Genomic DNA, 26,753 nt, shown 5'->3' on the forward strand with positions numbered 1-26,753 from the left:
GGTGAGGCATAAGAAATGCCAGCATATAGGAAGGACTGAGACATTTTCAGTTTAACATTACTGAAATGGGACAAGTAGGCAGAAGCCATTTAAAGAATTTCTATTTTAATCACTAAAAGGCTCTTGGAACATGTTCAGATGAACATTCTGTGGTACAAAGGTTTGGCAAAGTTCAAAAAGGCCTCTTGGGATAAAAAATGAATTCTACAAACATGACATTACTTGTGGAACCACTAAAATGCAGAAGAAAACAATTTTTAATGTAGAGTAACAGGTAAAATCTAAGTCAAACCTTTTCTTGGATTAGTCTTTGAAGATGAATCCCACAGGACAACATGGCAGCGAATAAGGTCAACATGTACTGCTGAACTTTGCAGATGGCAGAGGCCAGGGAGTTTATTACTGAGTTCAGTCCCACCTTTTCAATAACATTCTGGAAGGCAGTAGGAGAATGGCGAGTGATTCTACACAAGGCCTACAAAGACAAGAGAACAGACCTGTCAGGCAACTCCAAGTGCATCAATCATTCCCCTGAAAGGTAACACATGCTTCTGTGTCAAGGAGTAGAAGGTGCTTACTTGGCTCTTTTATTACTTATTTTGGCACAAGAAAGTTGGCAATTTTCAACAAACTTAAAAATAAAACAATCTGCCTGCCAATAAAAGCTAAGGTTGTTTTAAAACACTAGAGACTATTGTAGTAATAACCATTAAATTGATAAATTCATAAGCCTATATAGAAAAATGTCCCTTTAATTAATAAAACACATTATCAAACACCTGCAGACAATGAACTAAGTGCTGAAAAACAGTTGTAAAAGTGAATATCTAACATTTATCATTTATAATGTGAGAAACACTATCTGTAAATATCTGAAGATTACCTCAATTAATTCTTCTAACAACTATGAGAAAGGTAGTATTATTATCCTCATTTTATAGATGATAAAACTAAAGCATACAGTAGTTAAGTAACTTGCCCAAAGGCATATAGCTAGTAAGTAGCAAAGCAGGAAATTAAACCGATATAATCAGACCCTAGACCGTTCCTAAATTGCTCTCAGACTATTAGACATGAAACTTAAAATCAGCTAATAGAATGTATTAAGTGTTGGAATAGAAGTGGGCTCAATTAATCGTGCTTGGAAAGGAAGAAAAAGTCAACAAAAGGTACATAAAGAAGATGACGCTGAGCCAGTTTTTGAAGGGTAGATGGGAAATAGGTGAAAAAGTGAGTTAAGAAAAGATTCAAACTTGAGAGAATAGAACAAGTATTCACATGGAGACATAAAGACGTAAGCTGTCTGATGCAATTAGAACATTTATCAGGTGTAGAAAAAGAAGTACACAGTAGGAAAGAAGAAAACCTTATGATCTATCTAGAAAAGCAAGCTGGAGCCAGAGTTGGTCAACAAAGCTAGGAACTTAAAATTTTATGCCATAAGGAAAGGGAAGGCCTTGAAAGTTTTTAAGGAAAGGAAAGACATGATGATATTCTGTGTGTACGAGTGACTCCAAAGAGAGAAATAAGCTTAAGCTATGAATAGTTTTATAAAAATACTCATTATAATATCATATAAGCTCCTTCTCCCTGATTTATATTTTAAACAGATTTATAACCTTAATAACAAAAAGATCAAATATAAAACAAACTGTTAGAAATAATGATGTTAAGAGGAGGGACAGGAGAGAGGGATATATAAAAAACATAAAAAGACTTTGAAAAATATTTCCATTTTCTTAAACATCTTAGAAAAAAATTAAAAACCTTTTTCTCTCCAAGAATAATCTTCCTTTAAATGTTATTCAGTAGAGACGGGGTTTCACCGTGTTAGCCAGGATGGTCTCGATCTCCTGACCTCGTGATCTGCCTGCCTTGGCCTCCCAAAGTGCTGGGATTACAGACATGAGCCACCGCATCTGGCCTATTTGTGTTACTTTTAGTAGAGACAGGGTTTCACCATGTTGGCCAGGTTGGTCTCGAACTCCTGACCTCAGATGATCTGCCCACCTCGGCTTCCCAAAGTGCTGGGATTACAGGTATGTGCCACTGCACCCAGCCTCAATCTTTATGAAAATGCTAAGATGACTTTATTATAGCCAGAAAGGAAAAGGTAAATATAACTCACATCAAGGAAAATCTAGGACTTTTTCCAGATGCTTCCTCTTGAGGGCAGGACTGAGAGATGGGAGGTAGGAATGGGGCCACGAAGAACCTTCGATCTTCCACGTTTATACCATTCAAATTTTTCCAGTAAATGCATATTATTTTATAGTAATATTTAAAGTTACACTCCAATGCCAATGACTATATTAGATACTTTTTTACTTGTATTGAAATAAACATTTATGGGAGATTTTTAAATTAATACTCTATACATTTACTGCCATTTCTGAAATAAACAAGTAAATATATGCACTGAAAAAATGAGCATTTGTAGAGCACCAACTATATACCTCTCCCTAAAAACAAGTCCCTTTCCTTGTGGAACTATCATATGAAACACCTATAAAATTCTACAAACACCTACAGAATTAATAATCACTGACTCCATTTCAAACATATACCAGGGATTTTTATTCATTTGGAGATATCCATATCAGAATGAAATCCCATCAAATAATTAAACTCTACTTTGGGCATTTTTCAAATAACTTTTCAGTGTGTCCTCTTTCAAAAAAGCTACAGATGGGTAAATCAGATACCATGGTTTAGGAAATATGAAACTAGGGTTCTTCAAATCTAAATTCCAAATTGCATGAGTTTTGGTAGAAAAGTATCAATAGTAGTAATATCTGAAAAGAGGAATATTAAAAATGAATTCACTTTATTTTTTTCTCTATGTCCATGTAACAACAGAAAAATGAATTCACTTCTAAAAATCTGGTTATGATTTTAAAATTTTGAGAGGTAGGGGTGTGTGTGTGTATAGAAAGTAATCTTTAAAAAATAAAAATTGTGAAAGTTTTAAAAATGAGTCTAAAATTGCTGTTTATGAAATCAAACAGTATTGTTTAATTATTTTCCTAATCCAAGTATTTTTTTTAAAAAAAAGATCATTTGAAGTGATGTCCTTAAAGATCAGAATTTTTCTAGCAAATTAGGATTCAATGACTTCAACACAGCACAACAGTAAGTCTCATTAGCACTATAACAATTCTTGGAGGACCTGGCACTGCAAAACCAACTTCCCATTGTTATAAAATCCCTATCCAGTTATGATGGGGAAATTTCTTAATAAAAGATTTTCCCAGACTACTTCTGGGCAACTGGAATGGATCTTCTTCAGAATGCTGTGCAAAAGCCTAACAGACTTTCCATTTTGAAAAGCTCAGGCAGAAAATACTCTTTAATTCACTTCTAAATATCAAACTCACTTGAAAGCTTCTGAGCAACTGAGAAGATGCACAGAGCCTTAACAGCACACTAGTACTTGTATTTTCTGAATCAAAAGAAAAGAAATCAAATCAAATCTGATCTTCAGTGATGTGGTTTTTAAACATTTACTTATTAAAATAGAGTATGGCCGGGCGCAGTGGCTCACGCCTGCAATCCCAGCACTCAGGGAGGCTGATGCAGGCGGATCACAAGGTCAGGAGTTTCAGGCCAGCCTGGCCAAGAAGGTAAAACCACATCTCTACTAAAAATACAAAAATTAGCCGCACCTGCTGGCGGGTGCCTGTAATCCCAGCTATGCAGGAAGCTGAGGCAGGAGAATTACTTGAAACCAGAAGGCGGAGGTTGCAATGAGCCAAGATCATGCCACTGCATTCCAGCCTGGGCAACAAGAGTGAAACTCCATCTCAAAAAAAAAACCAACAAAAAAAAAATAGAGTCTGAGATTATATTTTAAAACTGGAAAAAACTGTTCCAGTTCAAAATTCACTTCAAAATTTACTTCGAAAAGAACATTTAGTGTTACCTCCAGAATTTGAATTTTCTTACAGTCTGTTCAATAAAAGCAGTTTCCAAGAAACAGACTCACTCAAAATTGAAGGCTGCATATCTGTTAGAAACATATGAGCAGAATCACCAAGGAAGAAAAGGTTTAAGAACCATTTCTTTTTGGTATTTCAAATGATTTTTTGATGTCATATGAAATTACCCTGGGAGGTTTTTCAAACTACACACACTCTTATCTGACCCCTGAGAGATCTTAAGATATATCAGAATAGGGGCAGGGGGTGGACAGAGAAGAGGAAGTAGTTAATGTTGCTTGAAAAGCTCCCCTCCAACCCTAGTGAGAACCACTATCCTGCATACTTCTTCACTTTTTGACACCTTTTCATCTCAGCACTTCAGTAATTATGATTACTTCAGCTACCTCTCTCATAGGAGCCACTTTACTCAATCTAACTCTACAGGTTTCTCTGGTTCTCACTATGGTCCCTATAGAGATTTTCCCTATAATCCCAATAAGTCTAAGAATCACTTTTATCTATTCAACACATTCCCCAAGTCAGGTCCACTCCTTCCAACTACCAATACCTACCAATGCTGCCACTCCTGAGTGGAAAGGACAAGTTAGTTATATTTTACTCTAAGCCACACTGGTGTATTTTAAGAGCTGCAAGGACTAGGGCAGTGGTTCTTAAATATCAGCAGGCAACATCACCTGGAAGCATGTTAAAATAGAGATTACTGGCCTCTCCCCAGGGGGACTCTCGTGCAGTAAGTCTGGGTTTGGGCCCAAAAAACTACACTTCTATCAAGTTCCCAAGAAATGTTAATGTTGCTGGTGTGGAGAACACACTAGTGTAGAACAATCTATGGAGCCAAGAGATCATTAGGAGAAACAGGTCAGAAAATCACTGACAGGCAGGAAATACAGACAGTTACAAGTGGAACAACATGTAGAGCTTGCTCCCTCAGCACTAAGCCTTGCTATCCTCCACCTGCTCATTCATTCATCTGATTAGCAGATATCTACTGAGCATCTACCATGTGCCCAGAAAAGGAACAACAGGACTTTTGTCTTCCTGGAACTTACACTAATGAGAAAAAACTGTGCATAAGGCCGGACGCTGTGGCTCACGCCTGTAATCCTGGCACTTTGGGAGGCAGACGTGGGTGGATCACATGGTCAGGAGTTCAAGACCAGCCTGACCAACATGGTGAAACCCTATCTCTACTAAAAATAGAAAAATTGGCCGGGCATGGTGGACACCTGTAATCTCAACTACTTAGGAGGCTGAGGCAGGAGAATCGCTTGAACCCAGGAGGCAGAGGTTGCAGTGAGCTGAGATCACAATACTGCACTCCAGCCTGGGTGACAGAGCAAGACTCTGTCTCAAAAAAAAAAAAAAAAAAAAAAAAAACACAGAAAAAAAAACCACAAACCTGTGTATAAATACATTAAATAAATAAAGCTGCATTCATTAGAGGCGAGAGAGCAGAGTCAGGGAGGTCCTAATTGAGGAGGTAACACTTAAGCTGAGACCTGAAATAAGGAATTGGCCATGTAAAAAACCAGCAGAGAACATCCAGGCACAGGAAACAGCAAGGAGGAAAGGTCCTGAGGCAGAAAAATACTTGGAAATCCTAGGAAATGTCTGAAGGTAAGTTTGGAGACAGAGTGAAGGAGGGAAGGAGTGTTACAAGATGGAACCAAAGAGGTAGGCAAGGGCCAAATCATGCAAGATACTGAAGGTCATGTTAAGAATTCTGACCTGTATCATCAAATGTATCCATTAACCTACAAGACGTGCTCCTGAGAGGTAAATAGCGAAAAAGACCTTAAAAAGGAGATTCAGCTCTGTAAGCCATCCCAGAGAGGAGGCAATTGTCATTCCTTGCCAGGAATGTGTGTGAATTATCTTCCAAATGCATATACTCAGTTCCTATAACCTCAGTCTTTAATAAATCCTCATGTAAATCTATTAACCGTGCAGGTGCAATTTTTTTTGTTAAGATTATGATGTTAGAGTAACTGTATAATGATCTCATGCTGTTCCCCCACCTGCCTTTTGTTATTAGCAGGAATCTTATGGCCTATTCCTCTTTGTCTCCCAGTAAAGAGGGGAGTTTAATCTTACTAACCTCTGCCCTCTACTCACACGTAGGGCAGGATGCTCCCTCTTAATCTTTGCAAGAAAAATCTTAACTTGCAATCAACAGGCCTGGTATCAAACAGAGAGAGATAAACAAAACATAGTCCTAGATTTCAAGGAGTTTAAAATGTATGACATTATAATAAAATAAACATAACTAATTTACTAAGCAAAATGTGCTGCTTTAAACATTAATATTACCTTAAAGCGGTCATCAATTTTCAACTTCTACCTAGTACTATGAATAAAGTATTATTAACCCTTCCAAAAAAATTGAAAGCTTTGAAAAGTTTAAGCAGGTAAGAAGAAGAGATATGATTTTATGAAGTTCATTTTGTGTGGAGAATCAAGTTGGTGGAGCCTAAAACTGGACGTTGGAAGACCATTTAGCAAGCTACTCCAGTGGTCCAGGTGAGAGATGGCAGTGGCCTGGATTATGGAAGTAGCCATACAGCTGCAGAGAGATGTGAGCAGATCTGAGAGATGCTGATGAGTTAGAATCACAGGACAAGTTGACCAGCTGGTTGTAAACAATAAAGTGGAAGAACTTAAGGGAAAGGAAAGTATCAAAGAGGATGTCTAGCCCTTTGCTTTCCTTAATGCTCCTTCCTAACCTTCCCGCCCAGTATCCATATGTCAGTCTGAGAAAGGAGGTCAATGAGGGAAAAGAGTGTGCTGAGCTGAGGAGTGGCCAAGGAAGCAGAGTGGTAGCAGCAAGGGAGGTTGGGGTAATATGGAGGAGGCCTCCAGCGGGGAGTGAATGGGAGCTGGTTACACTAAGGGGAACAAATGAACTGAATGAACAAATCAGTAAGTATATTGAGAATAATGAGAACCCAGTCTCTCTCTGTCTGAGAAGAGTTCTACAAACACAGAAAGAGGGAAGACTAGACCAGGCGTGGTGGCTCACGCCTGTAATCCCAGCACTTTGGGAGGCCAAGGCAGACAGATCACAAGGTCAGGAGTTTGAGACCCGCCTGGCCAACATGATGAAACATCCTCTCTACTAAAAACTACAAAAAAATTAACCGGATGTGGTGGCATGCACCTGTAATCCCAGCTATTCGGGAAGCTGAGTCAGGAGAATCACTTGAACCCAGGAGGCAGAGGTTGCAGTGGCCTGAGATTGCATGATTGTACTCCAGCCTGGGCAACAGAGCAACACTCTGTCTTGAGGAAAACAAAAAGAAAGAAAGAGGGAAGACTAGAAAGAATTCTGAGGTATTAAAATTAAAATATAAATTCATGAGGTTTTTTCAAAATGTGTACATTGACAGACATTTTTAAAATATAAATGTCTATGCATGGGTACATATATTTTATCTAGCTTTGAATAGTGAGAAGCAACAATGACACCACCCAGGGAATGAACACAAAGAGCACCCAGATCTTCATTTCTAAAAACTTAGGATTTCTTGGAGAAATGATTGATTCCAAGGCTGGCACAGGAAAAGCACAAAAGGAGCCCAGAACGGTACGTGGTATCAGGAGTTAAGGAAGTGCTCAGTGATAGAAATAAGTCCAAGGACACAGAAGTCATCTTGAAGGGATCCCACTCGCCAAATCTGGGATGATTAGAGCACCCAAACAATAAGCAGTAGCAGTAATAGTATCACATTACAACCCACTGAATAAAATCTATATCCACAAGTCCATGCTGATATGAATACGTACATGCATGCTGAAGAAAGGAAAGTGCTTCCTCAAAATAGAATTCCAACTTATATATACAAGGCCATCAAAATAATTTGCATAGCTCATGATCAATGCAAAAAAAAAAGGTGTTTACATTTTTAAAGGGTTACGAAAAGCAAAACAAACCAAAAGAATATGCAACAGAGACTGTATATGAGCTACAAAACCCAAAATATTTATTATCTGATCCTTTATAGAAAATATTTGCCAACCTCCGATGTAAAAAGAATGATGCAAATGGATAATCATCACATGACAACCACCCCAGAGGTATCTGGTACAGTTAAGAGTCATCAATGGATGCTATGGAGGTTTAATGAGGAAACACAGACAGACCCAGGTTAAGCTTCACCCCACAAAACAAAAGCTCTGCACTCTAAAAATTGTAAATGACGTGAAAAATACAAAAACTGAAGAACTGTGTCAGACTGGAGGAGACTAAAGAGCTATGAAAACAAAATACAGGCGGGGCACAGTGGCTCACGACTGTAATCCCAGCACTTTGGGAGGCTGAGGTGGGTGGATCACCTGAGGTCAGGAGTTCAAGACCAGCCTGGCCAACATGGTGAAACCACATCTCTACTAAAAAATACAAAAATCAGCTGGGTGTGGCAGCAGATGCCTGTAATCCCAGCTACTCAGGAGGCTGAGGCACAAGAATCGCCTGAAACTGGGAGGAAGAGGTTGCAGTGAGCCAAGATCACACCGTTGCACTCCAGCCTGGGTGACAAGAGCACAACTCTATCTCAAAAAGAAAAAGAAAATGAAAGGAAAGAAAAGAAAACAAAAGAAAACAAAACAAAAGAAAAGAAAAGAGAAAAGAAAAGAAAAAAGAAAGAAAGAGAAAAGAAAATACAACCCATGCTCCTGAACAGGATCTTTGCACAGAAAAGAAAAAGGAGACACTGTTGGGACAACTGGCAAAATTTCAATGTAAAATTAATGATTCAGATAAATGCTAAGAGCAAGTAATAAGAAGCCCAAGATAGAGTCAAACTTGATGCATCAGAAGAAAAAGGGGAGGACTAGAAGTTATGAGACTTTGGTGGGAACTATTGAAAAAAAACTTTGCCAAAAAAAGAAACCATGCTGAGTATAAGGATGAAAATCTGTATAATGTTATCTTTATAAAGTAAGCCCAATTAAAACAAGACAGATTTTTCTAAAGGCTCAGGATTAAAATGAATGTCTTAAAATATTATTCAAAGGTGCCTCAAGAAAGTTCACTGGTATACTTTGTAACTGTTTCTGATTGTTTACCTGTAATTATTAATACCATAATTAGTTGTGGGTTTTTGTAATTTTGAAAACATGTGGCTCCTGAAACAGACGTGTGTATAATCAATGTTATATATCCTTTCTTAATGATAATCAGGGGCAGGATTTATATCCATTGATCTTCAAGATTATATAGGTAACATAACTGAAAAATTTCCATAAATACCCACAGGATTTAGCAACATGAAAGTTATTAGTAACCTAAGCAAGATTAGCTTCAGTGGCATTTTTTGGACAGTACCAGATTGGGCTAAAAGGGAAAAGTGGGCCGGAAAAGAGCAACAGTTATGTGGCAATAACTCTTTAAAGAGGTATGGCTAGGAATGGGGGGATATGCAGCCAAGATTGTGCGTGTTGTTGAGGGGGCAGGGGTGGTAAATTAAACACCTAAATGCTGACTAGCAGGATCTAGTAGAGAAGGAAACATTTGAGAGTCAGGAAAGGGCAAAAATAACCATTTGAATTAGGTTCCCAAGAAGGGACCAGGAAGAAGATTTGGAGAAACATGAAGAGGTTTGTCTCTGAAAAGAGAAGGAACAGCTTGTCAATGGTACCAGGAAGGAAAGAATTGAGAGAGGACAGATGTGCAGGTAAATAGGTCTACTTATATGGCAGAAAGCAGTTGGGATAGTTCTCATTAGATGTCTTCACTTTTCCCTGGGCAGCAAAGGGAAAGTCATGAGTGAGGATACGTGATGAAAATGAGGGGTTGAGGGCATAAGGAAAGAACACAAAGTAAGAAACTGCCACAGAGAGAAGTGCAAGAGGTAGCTGAACTAGAGAAATACAACAAGGATGCCACATAGCGTTTGAGAGCCCAGATGAGATTGCTAACTCAAAGGGGTATTTAAATAAATCATAGGAGAGAGGGTTATATTTGTTCAATAGAGTATTAAATTGATACAAGCATGTTAACACATCTTTATACATAATTATCCTTTACACCACGTTATTATAGCCATGTGAGTAAAGTAGTAGGCAACCCATCAAAACACAAAAACACCAAAATCACAGATGCTTGAACATTAAAATGAATTCATCTGAACCACATGATAAACTCATTTGACACAAAATCTGAATGGGGATGCTAACAGGGAAAAGTCAGGGAACACTAAAAATATAACAAACCAAACCCTGTACCCTATATACTGCCACAGTTTTCTACTATCGCCTCTAAATTGTTTTTAAGGCTGGGCGCGGTGGCTCATCCACGTAATTCCAGCACTTTGGGAGGCCAGGGCAGGCAGATTGCTTGAGGCCAGGAGTTCAAGACCAGCCTGGGCAACATGACAAGACCCCATCTCTACAAAAATACAAAAAAATAAGCCAGGCCTGGTGGTGCATGCCTGTAGTCCCAGCTACTTGGGAGGCTGACGCAGTAGAATTACTTGAACCTGGGAAGTAAAGATTGCAGTAAGCCAAGATCACACCACTGCACTCCAGCCTGGATGACAGAGGGACACTCTGTCTCAAAATAAATAAACTTATTAATTAGTTTTTGAAACCATAATACCATAGTCCTAACAAGGTTTTATTGAAATTCTCTCACAGTCTCAAGGTTTTCCAGTTCCAAGTTTTCAAAATTCTCTTTTAGAAGAAAATCAAATTATTTCTCTCAATATTACTCTGAGATTTCAGTTTCCTATCTATTAAATTAAATTTATTCTTATTCTAATATTTTCTTCAAACTTGCTGTTTAAAGATACCCAGACATATCCCCCAAAAGATGCTTCATCTTACCGATACTGCTGTTATCCTAAGAGAATCAGCAGTGGAGTGTCTGAATAGGTACCACAAAATGGGTCCTATTTCTCCTGTAATAAAGCCCTGGGACTGAGCAGAAAAGGTGGTACAGACATTTTCAATAATTTTTGCTGCCATGTGATTCACAACACGCTCTTCCTATAGAGAAAGGAGATTAAAATAATATTAGTGTGAGAAATAAATACATGTTATTTCTTTATGACCATTGTAAATAATGTTATGATACCAAGACAGTAACATGCCTCTGGATGTGTTAGGCAACTTGGGAGGAATGATAACTCTTTCAGGTCATTATGAAACTATTACAAATAATCATTTGGTTATTCACTAGCAAGCTATCATAACATAACTCTCCATATATTTTAATAAAACAAAGAATTAGGAATATTTCACATGAAGGTTGCAGTGAGCTGTGATCACACCACTACACACTACTGCTGAAACAATCTGGAAAATAAACAAAATAACTATAACATAAAAACTGGAAGATAATTTTAAAATCATACGGAGCAGGCAGAATAATCCTCAGAAGTCATTCAGTCCTAGGAATAATCTGAGCACCGATCAATCAGAGTGGAAAGATTGTCTAAATAAGGGACATCAAGGAGAGTCCTAAGAAAGGTATTGCTTCAGTGGTGTGACGAAATTAATCCTAGAGGAAAAGCCATTCTGGATGGTCCTAGCGGTGCTAAAAAGTTAGCCTCAAAAAGATTCAACTGTTTTCAGGTAATATAAATGAGTCCAAGGAAAAGCCCAGAAGTACTTACAGAAATTTTAAAAAGTTCCGCATCCAATGATATAAAATTCGCAGTGAGTAACATCTAATTGAACACTGCCAAGCAAGCAAAGAAGCCAAAAAATATGATTCATAATTCAATCGCTAGAAATGACTGATAGACTTAGTAGAAAGATATTAAATGGCTATAATAAATGTAGTCCACATACTCAAGAAGGAAGAGGAAAGCAAAAACATAAGGAGAGAAACAAAAGATATAAAAATGACCCAAATCAAAATTCTAGAGATAAATAATGCAATGTCTTATAATAAAAATACACTGAATGGGATTAACAGATTAGACACTACAGACTAAATGATTAGTGAACATGAAGACATAGCTACTAACAATAAAAATCTATCCAAAATAAACACAGAAAGAAATAAGACTTGAAAAAGAAAAAAGAAACAGAGCATCAGTGAACTGTAGGACGCCTTCAAAAGACCTAATAAATGTGTAGTTGGAAAAATGCTTGAAATATTGTCTGAGAAGTTTTCAAATTCATGAAAACTGGTAATTCCAGGTCTCAGAAGCTCAATGAGCCCTACGCAGAAGAAACAAAGAAAAATGACACCAAGGTACATCATAATCAGACTGCTTTAAAAAAAAAAAAAGGAATAAAGAGAAAACCTTATGGACAAGGAGCAATGTCCCATTCCTGTAATCCCAGTGCTTTGGGAGGCCAAGATGGGAGAATCAGTTGAGGCCAGGAGTTCAAGACCAGCATGGGCAACATAGCAAGACCTTTTCTGTACAAAAAGTTTTAAAAATTGGCCAGGTAAGGTAGTACATGCCTATACTCCCAGCCACCTGGGAGGCTGAGGTGGGAGGATCACTTGAGCATAGGAGTTGGAGGTTGCAGTGAGCTGTGATCACACCACTGCACTCCAGCCTGAGCAACAAAGCAAGACCCTGTCTCAAAAATAAAAATAAAATAAAATAAAAAGAAAAGAAAACTTTACAAGCAACTAGAGTAAAAAGGCATATTCCACAGAGAGGAACAATGATAAGGCTGACAGATAATTCTCATCAGAAACAATACATACAAAAGACAATAAAGCAATATATTTTAAGTACCAAAAGAAAAAAAAAGTAACTGTCAACCTACAAATTTATGCACAAAAATAACATCTTTCAAAAACAAAGATAAAATAAGTACCATTCTGAAATGCAAAAGTTGAGAAAATTCATCACCAGCAGAACTGCACTACAAAAATATTAAAGGAAATTATTCATGCAGAAAAAAATGATAATGAGAAGAAAATTAAATCTATACAAAAGAACAAAGAATAAAAAAGTAAATATGTGAATAAATATAATAGATTGTTTTCCTTAATTTTTGAGCCTATTTTAAACATAAGCTGCAGCTGCTGTTTTTCTTTTTGAGACACAGTCTCACTCTGTCACCCAGACTGAAGTACAATGGCAGGATCACAGCTCACTGCAGTCTCAATCTCCCAGCTCAAGCAATCTTCTCACTTCAGCCTCCCAAGCAGCTGGGACAAGAGGCATGTGCCACCATGCCCAGCCAATTTTTTTTATTTTTTAACAGAGATGAGGTCTCACTCTGTTGCCCAGGCTGAACTCGAACTCCTTGTCCCAAGGAATCCTCCTGCCTTGGCCTCCCAGAGTGCTGCGATTACAAGCATGAGCTACTATGCCAAGCCAAGCATACCTGTTTAAACCAGAAATGACAAAAATGTATTGTGAGCTTTATAACATATGTAGACATAAAATGTATGACAATAGTAGGAAGGCTAGAAGGAGAATACTAGATTATTCTGGTGTAAGGTTCTTAGGAATTTGCATATCACTATATACATCATAAAAATAAGGTTCTGATACAAAGTTCTAACATACATGAGGTTCATATGTAAGCATTTGTATATCATTACTTGCAGGTCAACTGTGATAAATTCGAGTTACACACTGTTAAATAAAAAAAGATGTATAGGCTGGGCGCAGTGGCTCACGCCTGTAATCCCAGCACTTTGGGAGGCCGAAGCAGGCAGATCACAAGGTCAGGAGTTCAAGACCAGCCTGTCCAATATGGTGAAACCCCATCTCTACCAAAAACACAAAAATTAGCTGGGCATGGTGGCACGTGCTTATAATCCTAGCTACTCAGGAGACTGAGGCAGGAGAATTGCTTGAACCAGGACCCAGGAGGCAGAGGTTGCAGTGAGCCAAGATCGCACCACTGCACTCCAGCCTGGGCTTACAGAGCAAGACTCCATCTCAAAAAAAAAAAGATTTGTAATAATAAGTCCATAAAGGTGATATAAAGGCAGGAAGGACATTGGATAACACTATTAACTCACTTGGACATTTATACAACACTCCACTCAACAAAGGTAAAAGACACATTCTTTTCAAGATCACATGAAACATTACCAAGTTAGACCATGTTCAGGGCCGTAAAAAATATCTTAGCAACTCCATACTCATAGATTAATTTGAGATGAATCACAAACCTAAATGTAAAAGTTAGATCCATAAAGCTTCTAGAAGAGGTCATAAAGAACACGTTGCAGTAGGCAAAGCTTTCTTTTTTATTATTATTATTATTATACTTTAAGTTTTAGGGTACATGTGCACAATGTGCAGGTTAGTTACATATGTATACATGTGCCATGCTGGTGTGCTGCACCCATTAACTCGTCATTTAACATTAGGTATATCTGCTAATGCTATCCCTCCCCACTCCCCCTACCCCACAACAGTCCCCAGAGAGTGATGTTCCCCTTCCTGTGTCCATGTGTTCTCATTGTTCAATTCCCACCTATGAGTGAGAACATGCGGTGTTTGGTTTTTTGTCCTTGCAATAGTTTACTGAGAATGATGATTTCCAATTTCATCCATGTCCCTACAAAGGACATGAACTCATCATTTTTTATGGCTGCATAGTATTCCATGCTGTATATGTGCCACATTTTCTTAATCCAGTCTATCATTGTTGGACATTTGGATTGGTTCCAAGTCTTTGCTGTTGTGAATAGTGCCACAATAAACATATGTGTGCATGTGTCTTTATAGCAGCATGATTTATAGTCCTTTGGGTATATACCCAGTAATGGGATGGCTGGGTCAAATGGTATTTCTAGTTCTAGATCGCTCAGGAATTGCCACACTGACTTCCACAATGGTTGAACTAGTTTACAGTCCCACCAACACTGTAAAAGTGTTCCTATTTCTCCACATCCTCTCCAGCACCTGTTGTTTCCTGACTTTTTAATGATTGCCATTCTAACTGGTGTGAGATGGTATCTCATTGTGGTTTTGATTTGCATTTCTCTGATGGCCAGTGATGGTGAGCATTTTTTCATGTGTTTTTTGCCTGCATAAATGTCTTCTTTTGAGAAGTGTCTGTTCATGTCCTTCGCCCACTTTGTGATGGGGTTGTTTTTTTCTTGTAAATTTGTTTGAGTTCATTGTAGATTCTGGATATTAGCCCTTTGTCGGATGAGTAGGTTGCAAAAATTTTCTCCCATTTTGTAGGTTGCCTGTTCACTCTGATGGTAGTTTCTTTTGCTGTGCAGAAGCTCTTTAGTTTAATTAGATCCCATTTGTCAATTTTGTCTTTTGTTGCCATTGCTTTTGGTGTTTTAGACATGAAGTCCTTGCCCATGCCTATGTCCTGAATGGTATTGCCTAGGTTGTCTTCTAGGCTTTTTATGGTTTTAGGTCTAACATTTAAGTCTTTAATCCATCTTGAATTAATTTTTGTGTAAGGTGTAAGGAAGGGATCCAGTTTCAGCTTTCTACATATGGCTAGCCAGTTTTCCCAGCATCATTTATTAAATAGGGAATGCTTTCCCCATTGCTTGTTTTTGTCAGGTTTGTCAAAGATCAGATCGTTGTAGATATGTGGCATTATTTCTGAGGGCTCTGTTCTATTCCATTGGTCTATATCTCTGTTTTGGTACCAGTACCATGCTGTTTTGGTTACTGTAGCCTTGTAGTATAGTTTGAAGTCAGGTAGCGTGATGCCTCCAGCTTTGTTCTTTTGGCTTAGGACTGACTTGGCGATGCGGGCTCTTTTTTGGTTCCATATGAAATTTAAAGTAGTTTTTTCAAATTCTGTGAAGAAAGTCATTGGTAGCTTGATGGGTATGGCGTTGAATCTATAAATTATCTTGGGCAGTATGGCCATTTTCACGATACTGATTCTTCCTACCCATGAGCATGGAATGTTCTTCCATTTGTTTGTATCCTCTTTAATTTCATTGAGCATTGGTTTCTAGTTCTCCTTGAAGAGGTCCTTCACGTCCCTTGTAAGTTGGATTCCTAGGTATTTTATTCTCTTTGAAGCAATTGTGAATGGGAGTTCACTCATGATTTGGCTCTCTGTTTGTCTGTTATTGGTGTATAAGAATGCTTGTGATTTTTGTACATTGATTTTGTATCCTGAGACTTTGCTGAATTTGCTTATCAGCTTAAGGAGATTTTGGGCTGAGACAATGGGGTTTTCTAAATATACAATCATGTTGTTTGCAAACAGGGACAATTTGACTTCCTCTTTTCCTAATTGAATATCTTTTATTTCCTTCTCCTGCCTGATTGCCCTGGCCAGAACTTCCAACACTATGTTGAATAGGAGTGGTGAGAGAGGGCATCCCTGTCTTGTGCCAGTTTTCAAAGGGAATGCTTCCAGTTTTTGCCCATTCAGTATGATACTGGCTGTGGGTTTGTCATAGATAGCTCTTATTATTTTGAGATACGTCCCATCAATACCTAATTTATTGAGAGTTTTTAGCATGAAGGGCTGTTGAATTTTGTCAAAGGCCTTTTCTGCATCTATTGAGATAATCATGTGGTTTTTGTCTTTGGTTCTGTTTATATGCTGGATTACATTTATTGATTTGCGTATATTGAACCAGCCTTGCATCCCAGGGATGAAGCCCACTTGATCATGGTGGATAAGCTTTTGGATGTGCTGCTGGATTTGGTTTGCCAGTATTTTATTGAGGATTTTTGCATCAATGTTCATCAAGGATATTGGTCTAAAATTCTCTTTTTTGGTTGTGTCTCTGCCAGGCTTTGGTATCAGGATGATGCTGGCCTCATAAAATGAGTTAGGGAGGATTCCCTCTTTTTCTATTGATTGGAATAGTTTCAGAAGGAATGGTACCAGTTCCTCCTTGTACCTCTGGTAGAATTCGGCTGTGAATCCATCTGGTCCTGGACTCTTTTTCGTTGGTAAGCTATTGATTATTGCCACAATTTCAGAGCCTGTTATTGGTCTATTCAGAGATTCAACTTCTTCCTGGTTTAGTCTTGGGAGGGTGTATGTGTCGAGGAATTTATCCATTGCTTCTAGATTTTCTAGTTTATTTGCGTAGAGGTGTTTGTAGTATTCTCTGATGGTAGTTTGTATTTCTGTGGGATCGGTGGTGATATCCCCTTTATCACTTTTTATTGAGTCTATTTGATTCTTCTCTCTTTTCTTCTTTATTAGTCTTGCTAGTGGTCTATCAGTTTTGTTGATCCTTTCAAAAAACCAGCTCCTGGATTCATTAATTTTTTCAAGGGTTTTTTGTGTCTGTATTTCCTTCAGTTCTGCTCTGATTTTAGTTATTTCTTGCCTTCTGCTAGCTTTTGAATGCGTTTGCTCTTGCTTTTCTAGTTCTTTTAATTGTGATGTTAGGGTGTCAATTTTGGATCTTTCCTGCTTTCTCTTGTGGGCATTTAGTGCTATAAATTTCCCTCTACACACTGCTTTGAACATGTCCCAGAGATTCTGGTATGTTGTGTCTTTGTTCTCGTTGGTTTCAAAGAACATCTTTATTTTAGGCAAAGCTTTCTTAACCAGGACAAAAAGGAACTAAACATAAGAGAAAAAGCATTAAATCAAGCTTCATAAAAATTTTAAATTTCTGCTCATAATGACACCATTAAGCCTCATAGTATCTCAGGCCAGGAAAAAATATTTACATCCAGGCACAGTGGCTCATGCCTGCAATTCCAGCACCTTGTGAGGCCATGGCAGGTGGATTGCTTGAGCTCATGAGTTTGAGACCAGCCTGGGATACGTGGCAAAACCTCTTGTCTCTACCAAGCATGGTACACGCCTATAGTCCCTGCTACTTGGGAAGCTGAGGTAGGAGGATGGCTTGATCCCAGGAGGCAGAGGTTGCAGTGAGCCGAGATTGTGCCACTACACTCCAGCCTGGGCAATACAGCCAGATCTTGTCTCAAAAAAATAAAAAAATTTACAACACACATACATTAAATATCTGAACATTTTATATATATGATACCTTAATTAAAATAAAAAATACATTAAAGATTACATAATCCTACATTTATTTAACAAGAAAAATATATATGTAAAGGAAGGGCAAAGAAAGATATATAATACTCTGTTAATGATGATTATAATAGGTCTTGGATTGTAGGGAGGAGGAGCCCACTAATTCAACTTTAGAAATTTTTACATTGCTTGGTTTGTTACAATATGCATTTACTGTTTTTTCAATCCAAATTTATGTATTTTTCATATAAAAACGTTTACAAATGCGCAGAAGATATTGAGTAATGTCTAAGTTCAAGCCATAGTTTTTGCATTTTGCTAGTTATATATCCTTCACTATTTTTATCTCTTTGCCCCAGCTTCATTATCTACAAAATGAAGATTAACAAAACACAAGCGGTTTGAGAATTAAATGAGATAGCACACAGGAAGACTCAATCTAGAGCATGAAAAGTAGTAAATTCTCAATAAATGTTAGCTTTTATTCCCATTATTATTAATACCATATAGTACAAACTACAAGACTGCTAGGAAAGAAATCTTAAATATCCTTCAATTTCCCAAACTTCAACACATTTTTCATTTCTCAGAATGGCTATCTGAGAGAACTCTTCCTTCCCATTCCCATTTCCTTCAATGCAGCCAGAATAAATTAACCTAACACTTCTAGCCTCTCTCTGTTCCTTTATTCACTCTACTTGGTGAAATAAAATGTGACATCCATTTGACAAATTTGAAAAGAAAAAACTGGATATTCCTAAGTGCTCAGCTCAACTCTTCCCCATCCGCCCTTGGGGACAGGCCCACCCACACAGAGTTGTCGTCGCGTATCTCCTAGTTGTAAGCCTTAACTGGACAGGTACCCTACTTGGAGACCGCTGCTGTGTCTGGGGAATGCTAAGCTTCCTTAATGTGGGGTTCAATATGACGAAACCTATTTGCCCACAGAGATAAGCTGTATCCTCTATCCTAGTTCTTACTACAAAAAATATTAATATTTTGCCCCATATGCCTTGCTCTTTGTCTTATTTCTTATGAAGTTCTAAAATCTTTTTCCTGACTGTAGGGGGGAAATGAGCTATTTATAGAAGCCTTCTCAAATACATGTGCTTTACAACACAATTGTCAGTCAGTTCCTAGGACTCATTCCTAGTACTAGAAAACCACAACTATTTTAGCAGCTGGGTTGGAAAGGGGCCATGTGTCATCCCAGTGCTCTGTAAACTCAGTGAGGTTGTCAGGCCAATTCAACCTGCTCCTACCTGAAATAAGTGACTCTAGTCCATCTTCAATCCCCTGTGGGATACCATACAAGCAAATAAGAGTAGCGGTATTTTCTGCTTAACTCACTCTTTGGGAAAGATAACTGAGCTAATGCCTATTGCTTAAATCAAAGACCTATTTCTTCACAGCACTAAAATAAAAGCTAAGATTATTTTTTAAATAGCTAGGCTTATTAATGAAGAGCTGTGCTATGTTTTAATGGTGTTAAATAGATTTAATATATTGTAGGCAGCCTTAACAAAAAAGTTTTCTGCCAATATAATTTTGGTCTACTTAGGCAGGCCGTTAGCCTTGCCTCTCATTTTTTTTGTTTACCTTGCTGGACAAATGCCGTCAGGGCAAACACCAGTTTAAGTCTCCTGGGCACCTCTCAGGGTTCTTGTCTACACAGTCGCTGACTTAAGAACTTGGTGCTGCCAGCCGGGTGAGGTGGCTCACACCTGTAAACCCAGCATTTTGGGAGGCTGAGGCGGGCGGATCACGAGGTCAGAAGTTTGAGACAGCCTGACCAACATGGTGAAACCCCGTCTCTACAAAAAATACAAAAATTAGCCAGGCGTGGTGGTGCATGCCTGTAATCTCAGCTACTCAGGATGCTGAGGCAGGAACATAGCTTGAACCCAGGAGGCTGAGGTTGCAGTGAGCCGTGATCACCCCACTGCACTCCAGCCTGTGCAACAGAGCAAGACTCCGTCTCAAAAAAAAAACAAAAAAAAAAACAAAAAAAAACAAAAAAGAATTTGGTGCTACTTTATAGATGTTTGTAAGGTTTATTTTTTTATTTTATATCCAGTATTTATAGTTGCTTTCAGAGGATAGGGTTGTCCAGGTATCTTGTCCACTATACTGCAAGAAATGAAAATCCTATGTTCTTGGTTCAATGAATTACTAAAACAATAAAATATGTTAAAAAAAAAATCCAGGTACCTTGAAGCGCTTAGAGGAAAGATCAATCCACAAATGTGAAACAACAAATGTCAGTATTTCAGATGTTAATTTTGGTGCTCTTTATTGAAAAAGTAGGCGTGTAGACTAAGATTATATTTGTGTGTGGTGCTATGTTTAGTTCTATTTTTGATTTTAAAAGTAAATATAGATAATCAGTTTCCGCATATCACTGATTCAAAGTGTGTCTCCTCTCCCCTGCTCTGCAGTGTCACCTCTGTCATATGAATTGACATGTCTCTTTGTAGGTTCTATTTGTTTCTGTTGGCCTACTTATCTCTGTGCCACACTATCTAAATTAATAACCTTTACTTTTAATATATATTTTCAATATATGCAGTGTTTTGCCCTACCAATATAATCTTTTTTCAATAATTTATTTTTGCCCTTTTTCATTTGCATGTAATTTCTAAAATCGACTTAAGTTTATCTATTGGGATGTTGACTGAGAGTACATCTATAAATGTGAGGAACATTAAATGATATTAGTATACAATAGAAAACATACTCAATGAAAACATTAACAGTAAAAGACAAACACATTTAATTTTAAAAACACTGGAATAAGATGACAGCTAATTGAAGTTCCTTTGAATTCTTGATCACATTCAGCTAATGTGTTTATTACTTAACTTAGCTCTCCACTATAGGTCTAATTCTTTATAGTTAACATTTATGAAACTATATTTATATATCATATGCTGGCCAGGTATAGGAAAGACACTGCCCTGTCTTCATTTATTGGGAAAGAGAAATGGCTTTTCATCCCTAGTTCTGTACTCCAGCTTTTTATTGTTTTGTAATTTCATTTGTTTTATTTCTTTCATGTGTCATTATTAAATCATTTAAGGCTATGAACTTTCCTTTCAATCCAGTGTTAGTGAAAGCCCATTAGTTTTGACATGCAGTGTTTCCATTATTGTTACTATATAGACAGTCCCAAGTCTCATTTTAAAGTTTTCCCTCATCTAGGGTTCTTTATGAGATGGTTTAAAACTTTCCAGGTGGGTGGGATTTTATTGCCTTTACTCCTCTTTGTTGAAATAAAGTTGTGTTACCTAATAGTCAAGAATGTGGTCTGTTCTATTTCTCTGTCTCTTTCTTTAATGTTGTGGCAATGGCCAGAAGTGGTGGCTCACACCTGTAATCCCAGCACTTTGGGAGACCAAAGCAGGAGGATCGCTTGAGCTTAGGAGTTCAAGACAAGCCCGGGCAACTTAATGAGACCCTATCTCTATTTTAAAAAATTTAAGACAAAAATAAAGTTGTGGTTATATGTAAGATAAATAGATATAAAATTGACCATTCTAACTCAACAGTGTATAGTTTTGTGGCAGCAGTCCATTCAAACTGTTGGGCTAGTTCTCATTTTTACATCTATTGAAATGTTAATTGGCTTATTTCCTTTTTTTCCCTCTCACATTCAAAAGTTAGTAATGTACCTTACTGAGCATGGGCCATTATTTTATTTCATTTTATTTTATGTATTTGAGACAGGGTCTTGCTCTGTTGCCCAGGCTGAAGGGCAATAGTGTGCATAGCTCACTGCAGCCTCAAACTCCTGGGCTCAACCAATCCTTCTGCCTCAACTTCCAGAGTAGCTGGGACTACAGGCATGCACCACTACACTGGGCTAATTTTAAATTTTTTTTTTGTAGTGATGGAGTCTCGCTATGTTGCCCAGGCTGGTCTCGAACTCTTGGCCTCAAGTGATCCTCCCACCTAGCCCTCCCATAGTGCTGGGATTACAGGTATAAGCCACTGCACCTGGCCTTTATTTATTTTTTAAGTTTTATTATTAGAGATGGAGTCTCACCCTGTTACCCAGGCTGGAATGCAGTAGCACACTCATAGCTCACTACAGCCTCAAACTCCTGGGCTCAAACGATCCTACTAAGTAGGTAGGACTATAGGTGTACACCCAGCTAATATTTTTAATTTTTTAGAGACGGGGTTTCATTCAAGGATCACTTGAACCCAGCGATCCTCCTGCCTTAGCTTCTGAAATTGCTGGGATTACAGGTGTGATTGAGCCATGGCACCTGGCCAAACATGGGCTATTGGTTCTGGTTGTTACTCTTTTCCTTTTCCTTCTAATCCTTGTATTGGAAAGAAAACAGTATGGAAATTTTATTTCTTCATTTTATTGATACGTAGATCTCTGCTTAGAAGGCAATTTTAGTTTTAAATTATAAATTTTTTGTTCATTATTCACGGAATACTAGGTTTGCCATGGGGTATTAATAAATGTTGCACGAATGAAGGGTTTTCTAGTCAAATAGGTTAGAACACATTGGGTTAAACAAACTTGGACAGTTTTGTTTCTGGTAATTTCTAGAGTTCTAAATTATGATTCTACTCAAGAGGATATTGTATGCAGCATTTTCAAAGCTACCTCATCCTGCGTCATGTTGTGGTTACGCTTTGGGAGAGGAAGCTATAATCTTATACTGAGACTGTAATGAATGTATTAAAGTAATTTTCAGTAGCTTTCTATTTTAGAGTTACCTGAGAAATTATGACACTCTTTTCCAAACAGGCCAACCTGCTTTATGAACATGATTTCCATAATTTTAACAATGGGGAGGCCAGGCACAGTGGCTCATACCTGTAATTCCTTCCAGCGCTTTGGGAAGCCAGGGCAGGAGGATCACTTAAGCCAGTAGTTCAATACAAGCCTGGGCAAAATGGTAAAACCCCATCTCTACAAAAAAATACAAATATTAGCCAGGCGTGGTGGCACACACCTGTAGTCTCAGCTACTCAGAGGCTGAGGTGGGAAAATTACTTCAGCCCAGGAGGTCGAGGCTGCAGTGAACAGTGATCACACCACTGCATTCCAGCCCAGGTGAGAGAGCAAGACCCTGTCTCAAAAACAAACAAAACAAAACAAAACAAAACACAAACCAAGGGTGAGAGACATGTTAGATCTTTTTGTCCTCGTTACAGATGTAAATGATCAGATGGAAAGAGGGAAGTATTTAGAGTGAAAAACTTTTGGTGGAACACACACAAAAATAGGAAGATCAGGTATAACTGTTCAAAAAAAAAGAGTACAGCAGTATAGAAGAAAAGGTATCCATGATAATATGGAATAACGATTTCAGAGCTGGTGCTGGGATTTCAGAGATCTTGAGCTGGGAATCAAAAGATGGGAATTTCAGTCTCAGATGTGCCACTCCTTAGAGGTTTAATATTGACTAATCCCCGGGGGCTCCACTTGGTGGTGTTCGCTATTTAAAAAAACAAAAACATGTGCCAATGATCTTCCATGTGTTTCTGACTTGAGCCTCACCCCTGAGTCTGAAGACTTACCCTTCCATTGCTTTGCCCTTCAAGTTTGTGCCCATTAGCAAAGATAAATTTTCTCCTTGGGATCACTGCTGTGTTGATCTCAGGAATATTTGGCATTGAATTTAAATAATATATCTTTCATATGTGTGTACATTAGGGAGGCTGAGAAAGTTGTCTTTTTGTTTAAGGTGTCCATTTCTGGGGGACAGGTAGCAGCCTACTCCACAATCCACACAGAAGCTGGAAATAGCCCCTAGAGAATTTCCACATGTCTAGAAAAGATTAATTTATACATTTGTATCTAATCAACATTTTTTAGCTTACATAATAGTCTATATAATTATGGGTACTGAACTGACATCTGGCATATGCTGTATTTAAAAATGTGAGGTTCAATGAGAACACATGGACCCAGGAAGGGGAACAATGCATACTGGGGCCTGTCAGGGCAGGTGGGGGAGGAGCATCAGAAAAAACAGCTAATGCATGCTGGGTTTAATACTTAGGTGATGGGTTGATAGGTGTACCAAACCACCATGGCACACGTTTACCTATGTAACAATCCTGCACACATACCCTAGAACTTAAAATTTAAAAAATAATAAAAAATAAAAATTTGAAATTCAGAACATAAACTATTGGTTTTATTATTCATATTTTCTTAATTCCAAAATTATTTTCTGAACTATAGTTTATTAGATAATTCTGATGTAACAATTTTCTAAGAGGAAATTTAATTTTTACTTTTTAATTAGGGCTCTTTGTTCTTCTTTTTGAGAAAGCCAGTGACAAATAATTTATACATTTAATTAGAAGAGACTGGGCTTGAATTTTTTAAAAGTACTAGAAATGCTAGCCATTATATATGTTATCTTTGAAATGTTTTAGACACTAATTACCTAAACAAGGAGCAAGTAAGTTAAATCTCTTGGATTTTAATAAGAGCTAAAATGTACAGTTATATTTTCTGGTTTTTTAAATTGTTACAGTCTAAATTTATCCTACAGTCTAAATTTCTAGTGAAGAAATGTATGTGCCATCAATATCAGGTTCTTTGTGGGTACTCACAATTCCCCTTGCCTTTCATGCAGTGAAGGTGGGCAACGTGTGTGGAACAGAAACGATGTTGTTTTCTTTCTTTTGAATCTCACTATGAATCTAATACTTCAAAGATTCCTAACTTTCTGAATGCCATTATTAGTTGGATTCACAATGGCTTACCAGGTACAGAGTTGCCCAGTGTGTCTTGGAGTGAACTATTGAGAGTGGTATGAGGGAAGTGATTCTCAGCCAGCGCTGAGTGGGGTAGACCGCTGCCAAAGAGGTGATGGGGTAAGCAGCACACACAATGTAGCATTTTCACTGCAAACGGGAGGTTTGTGCTGGCTGTCCTCCTGTGGCAGGTCTGCTCGCAGGGGAGGCTCCAAAGTTTGGCTTTGCTGGGTTTGACATGTGAGAACTGATGAAATATCTGTATGTAGTATCTTTCAAGGATTTATATTGGTTGGATTTCTGTGTAAATTTTCATATCCCTTTGACTGCTTTACACCATACAAGCTTTGTATGCTTAACAAAATCTATAACTTTTCTGTCGCTTTCTCATTTAGTATCTGCCTTTCTGGCCTTTTACTTTTTATTATTGTTTTTAGTTTAATGAGATTATGGTTAGAGAGAAAGATGTATGCATGATTCCACTTCTTTGGAATTTGTTGAGATTTTCCTTATGGCTCAGTACGTATATACTTGGGCGGGTGGTGAGTTCTGTCACTTTGGAGAGATGTTTTTTCTACACATTAGGTCAAGCTTGTTAATTTTCTAGGCAGATATAGATCTTCTAGGTCTATGCTGATTGTTTTTGTCTGTTTTATCAGATACTGAGATATGTGTTTAAATTGCCCTCTTAGGGTTGCAATTTTGTCATATTTTGCTTTCATGTATTTTGACTGCTAGTTATTAGATACATTAAAATTTTAGATTGCCTTTTCCCTTGGTTTATTATAATTTTCATCATCATATTGTGACCTTAAAAATCTCCCATATTGCTTTTTGCCCAAAGCCTATTTTATCTGATAATAATATAGCTAACCACACTTCTTTGGATTAGGTACATATGACGTGTATCTTTTTTCATTCTCTTTCAGTCTTTCTATAACTTTATGTTTTAGATGTCTTTTCATACTGTTTATTTTCTAATTCTGTCCTTTTTTTTTTTTTTTTTTGAGATGGAGTCTTGTTCTGTTGCCCAGGCTGGAGTGTAGTGGTGTGATCTCAACTCACTGCAACCTCTGCCTCCCAGGTTCAAGCGATTCTCCTGCCTCAGCCTCCCGAGTAGCTGGAATTACAGGCATGCACCACCACGCCCGACTAATTTTTGTATTTTTAGCAGAGACATGGTTTCACCATTTTCATCAGACTGTTCTTGAACTCCTGACCTCATGATCCGCCTGCCTTGGCCTCCCAAAGTGCTGGGATTACAGGCGTGAGCCACATGCCTACCCTAATTCTGTTTTATAGTCATTTTCTCTTAACTATTCAGTCCATTTACATTTATTATGATTGTTGGCACAGTTTCATTTATAACTTTCATCATATTTTGTGCTATTTGTTCCATCTGTTTTGTATTTCTTCGTGTCTTTTTTGTTTCTTTTTTTCCTAATTCCTTTCATATTCATGGTTATTCTATTGCTCTTGAAATACATATTTTATGTGAATACATTTGTGAATTGACAATACTTTATTAACAATGAAATATACGATTTCACTTTTTTTTACTACAGTTGTTGCTGCTAAGAAATTAGCTGTCAGAGCAACTGTGCTTCTTGAAGGCAATACTCTGTAAATCAAGTGAGGACCTGCTTATGCTTTTAGCTTCTTGTGGGATTTCCCTCCTGCAACCTGCACTCCCAGCTGCAAATACGTCCTCAATGCCCTCCTCAGATCAGTGGGGTAGCAGGGAGATGGGGGAAGTTATTGTTCACATCTTTTATACTTAGTTGTAGGCACTGGGGGCTCCTACCTTAAATTGGGTCTGGATAAGGGATTCTTCACTTGACTATTTTTATTTTTAAAAACCAACTGGACCTACACATAGCACCACACACCAAAGATAATTACAAATAGATTAAAACTCTAAATGGGAAAAGAAAAAATAAGACTTTCAGAACAAAATGTAATAGACTCTCTTAGTGATGTTGGAGGAGAGAAGCATTTCATAAGATACAAAAAGCACAAATCATAAAGGAATAGATAAACTGAGCTACACAGAGCATGGTGGCATGCATAACTACAATCCCAGCTACTTGGGAGGCTGAGACAGAAGGATTGCTTGAGCCCAGGAGTTCAAGACCAGCCTGGGCAACATAGCAAGATTGTATGTGTATACACACATACAGACACACACACACAGAGTCTTAT

The 26,753-nt window shown here is 37.9% G+C and overlaps 1 protein-coding gene across 6 annotated transcripts in view; it reads right to left on the reverse strand.

The window, feature by feature from the left end:
• Positions 1–26,753, reverse strand: part of ULK4 (unc-51 like kinase 4) — a 715,505-nt gene that overhangs the window by 542,770 nt on the left and 145,982 nt on the right. For all 6 annotated transcript variants that reach the window (NR_136342.2, NM_001322501.2, NM_017886.4 and 3 more), the window contains 2 exons: positions 10,764–10,925; positions 293–475 (listed from right to left, as the gene is read on the reverse strand). Coding sequence is in view for 5 of the 6 variants with exons in the window: in NM_001322501.2 (NP_001309430.1) it covers positions 293–475; positions 10,764–10,925 (345 nt within the window). In the remaining variant the exon portion in view is untranslated. The remainder of the gene's footprint in view (positions 1–292; positions 476–10,763; positions 10,926–26,753) is intronic.

The sequence above is a fragment of the Homo sapiens genome, chromosome 3 (genome assembly GCF_000001405.40).
Source record: "Homo sapiens chromosome 3, GRCh38.p14 Primary Assembly".
NCBI lineage: Eukaryota > Metazoa > Chordata > Mammalia > Primates > Hominidae > Homo > Homo sapiens.